The sequence below is a fragment of the Homo sapiens genome, chromosome 9 (genome assembly GCF_000001405.40).
Source record: "Homo sapiens chromosome 9, GRCh38.p14 Primary Assembly".
In the NCBI taxonomy this organism is placed as follows: Eukaryota; Metazoa; Chordata; class Mammalia; order Primates; family Hominidae; genus Homo; species Homo sapiens.
Genome location: NC_000009.12, coordinates 100,879,720 through 100,881,724, shown reverse-complemented (window position 1 = coordinate 100,881,724; position 2,005 = coordinate 100,879,720).

The following is a 2,005-nucleotide window of genomic DNA, read 5'->3' as shown; positions in this document are numbered from 1 at the left end:
TTGCAACCAGCCTGGTGAACATAGTGAGACCTCATCTCTTAAAAAATAATGTTTAAAAAAACCAGCCAGAAGTGGTGGCAGGAGCCTGTAGTCCCAGCTACTCAAGAGGCTGGGGCAAGAGGATCACATAATTCCAGCAGTTTGAGTGAGCTGTGATCACACCACTGCACCAGCCTGGACAACAGAGCAATACACTGTCTCTAAAATAAATAAACAAATAAACAATCTTTAAAAATTAAAATAAATAAAATAAAATTCAAGCCCTAAAGGAGAAAATATAGCATTTTATATTGATAAAAGCTAAAAGGCCATGTTGAACATTTATGTACTAAACAAAATAGCATGGAAAACAAAAACAGCTATTATTTGTTCAGTTCTTTGACTTTAACCTTCAAAACAACCTGATGAAGTAAGTATTCTGAAAGGATGAGATCAAGACTTAATATCTGAAATAAAAAAACACAAAGATGATTTTATTGCTTACCTAAATAAAGAAGAGCTATGCTGGTCAGGCACAACCTCTCCAAACTGCTGATATAAGGAGAAAACGATATATCTATAATTAAACTTTATGTGCCAAATAATGTTGCCCCAAAATATATTTAAAGGAAAATATCTTGGAAATATATTGAGAAATTGACAAAAAGACACCAGTGAAAGATATCTACGGAGCAAGCAAACAATACATGTCTCCTTATGGTGACATGTATTGACCTTCAAGGTAGAGACCTCCACATTGTCATTAAGCCGGAGGGATCATCAGCATTTAACAGGGAGGAGCTGGTCACTTCTGTAGGCCCAGAGGGTTCAATAGGATCTGAGTTTTCAAATTTATGGAGTAAAGTGATACAGATAGCCCATTCCAAATCTCAGAGTCCCACACCTTTCCAATCAGGTCCTCCTGAATTTGGCATAGAAGATTTGTTGGAGTAGAGAGTTCAAATTTCTCAAGAACTCTGCTACTCTCAAGCTTTGGACCTCAGATTTTTCTTCTCTTTCAGCTAAAAGAGGTACATCTCTATATACACTGCTAAGGAGGCACTCTGATTTACTTATTTTTTCTTCATCTGGTGATTAACCTTTAGCCTTTCATTGTCTTCTCCAATGCATCAGTATTATGAAGCATGATCGATTCCATAATTCTCATAATTTCTGTTTCCCACACAACTCTCAAGTGCCTGAGATATTGCAGCAACCAAGGCATTCCCTTCCAATATTATGCAATCCCAATGAAAATTTTAGCAATTGCAGAATTATAGCATGCCAGGGGCCATGTACTCTATCTACAGTTGGTGATGAGGTTTTCCTGCTCCAAAACTGCACTATAGATTCGGCTCCCTAAAACCATTTCTGGTACCAACTGTCATAGGTTTGGCTCCCTGGAAACATACTCTAGAGTAGAGATTTGCATGAATCACCCCTTGGGGGGTGATTTCATGAATGACAACTGTGAGAATTGGGCAGAGGGCAAAGTTGATCTATGATATGTGATGCAGTTACAACAGAGGCCTTGCTGATCCCACAGGGAACTCTGGAGAAAGAATGGCCCTTTAGGGTTGTCTGAAATTAAGGCAAGGGGCAATCCTTGTAACTCCACCTTGACCCTTTATTAGACATGCGCTACCCCTGTGGAGGGATAACCTTGGGAGAGAAGGCCCCATTTGACTGAGGCAGCTCCTGGAGAGGAACACCTGCCAGCCATTAGCACATAACATTCCTGGCAGCTGGGGGAATGTGTTCTGGAGTGATCTGGGTATTTGGAACTCTATGAACAGGAAATAAACCTTCTTTTTCATGTAATTTTGTTTTCTGTCTAATATTTTACCCTATTAACAGAAAATAGACCTTAGTGTCCATAGTAGTATGAGGGGTTTTGTTTTCATATTTTCTAGAATGTTCTGACTCTGCACTTTCAAGCCAGCTAAGTATTTATTTTAAATTTATATAGAATTGTTTAAGATAACCCTTTTAGCACTGCCACCCCAATCACCTACTTTGTAAAGAG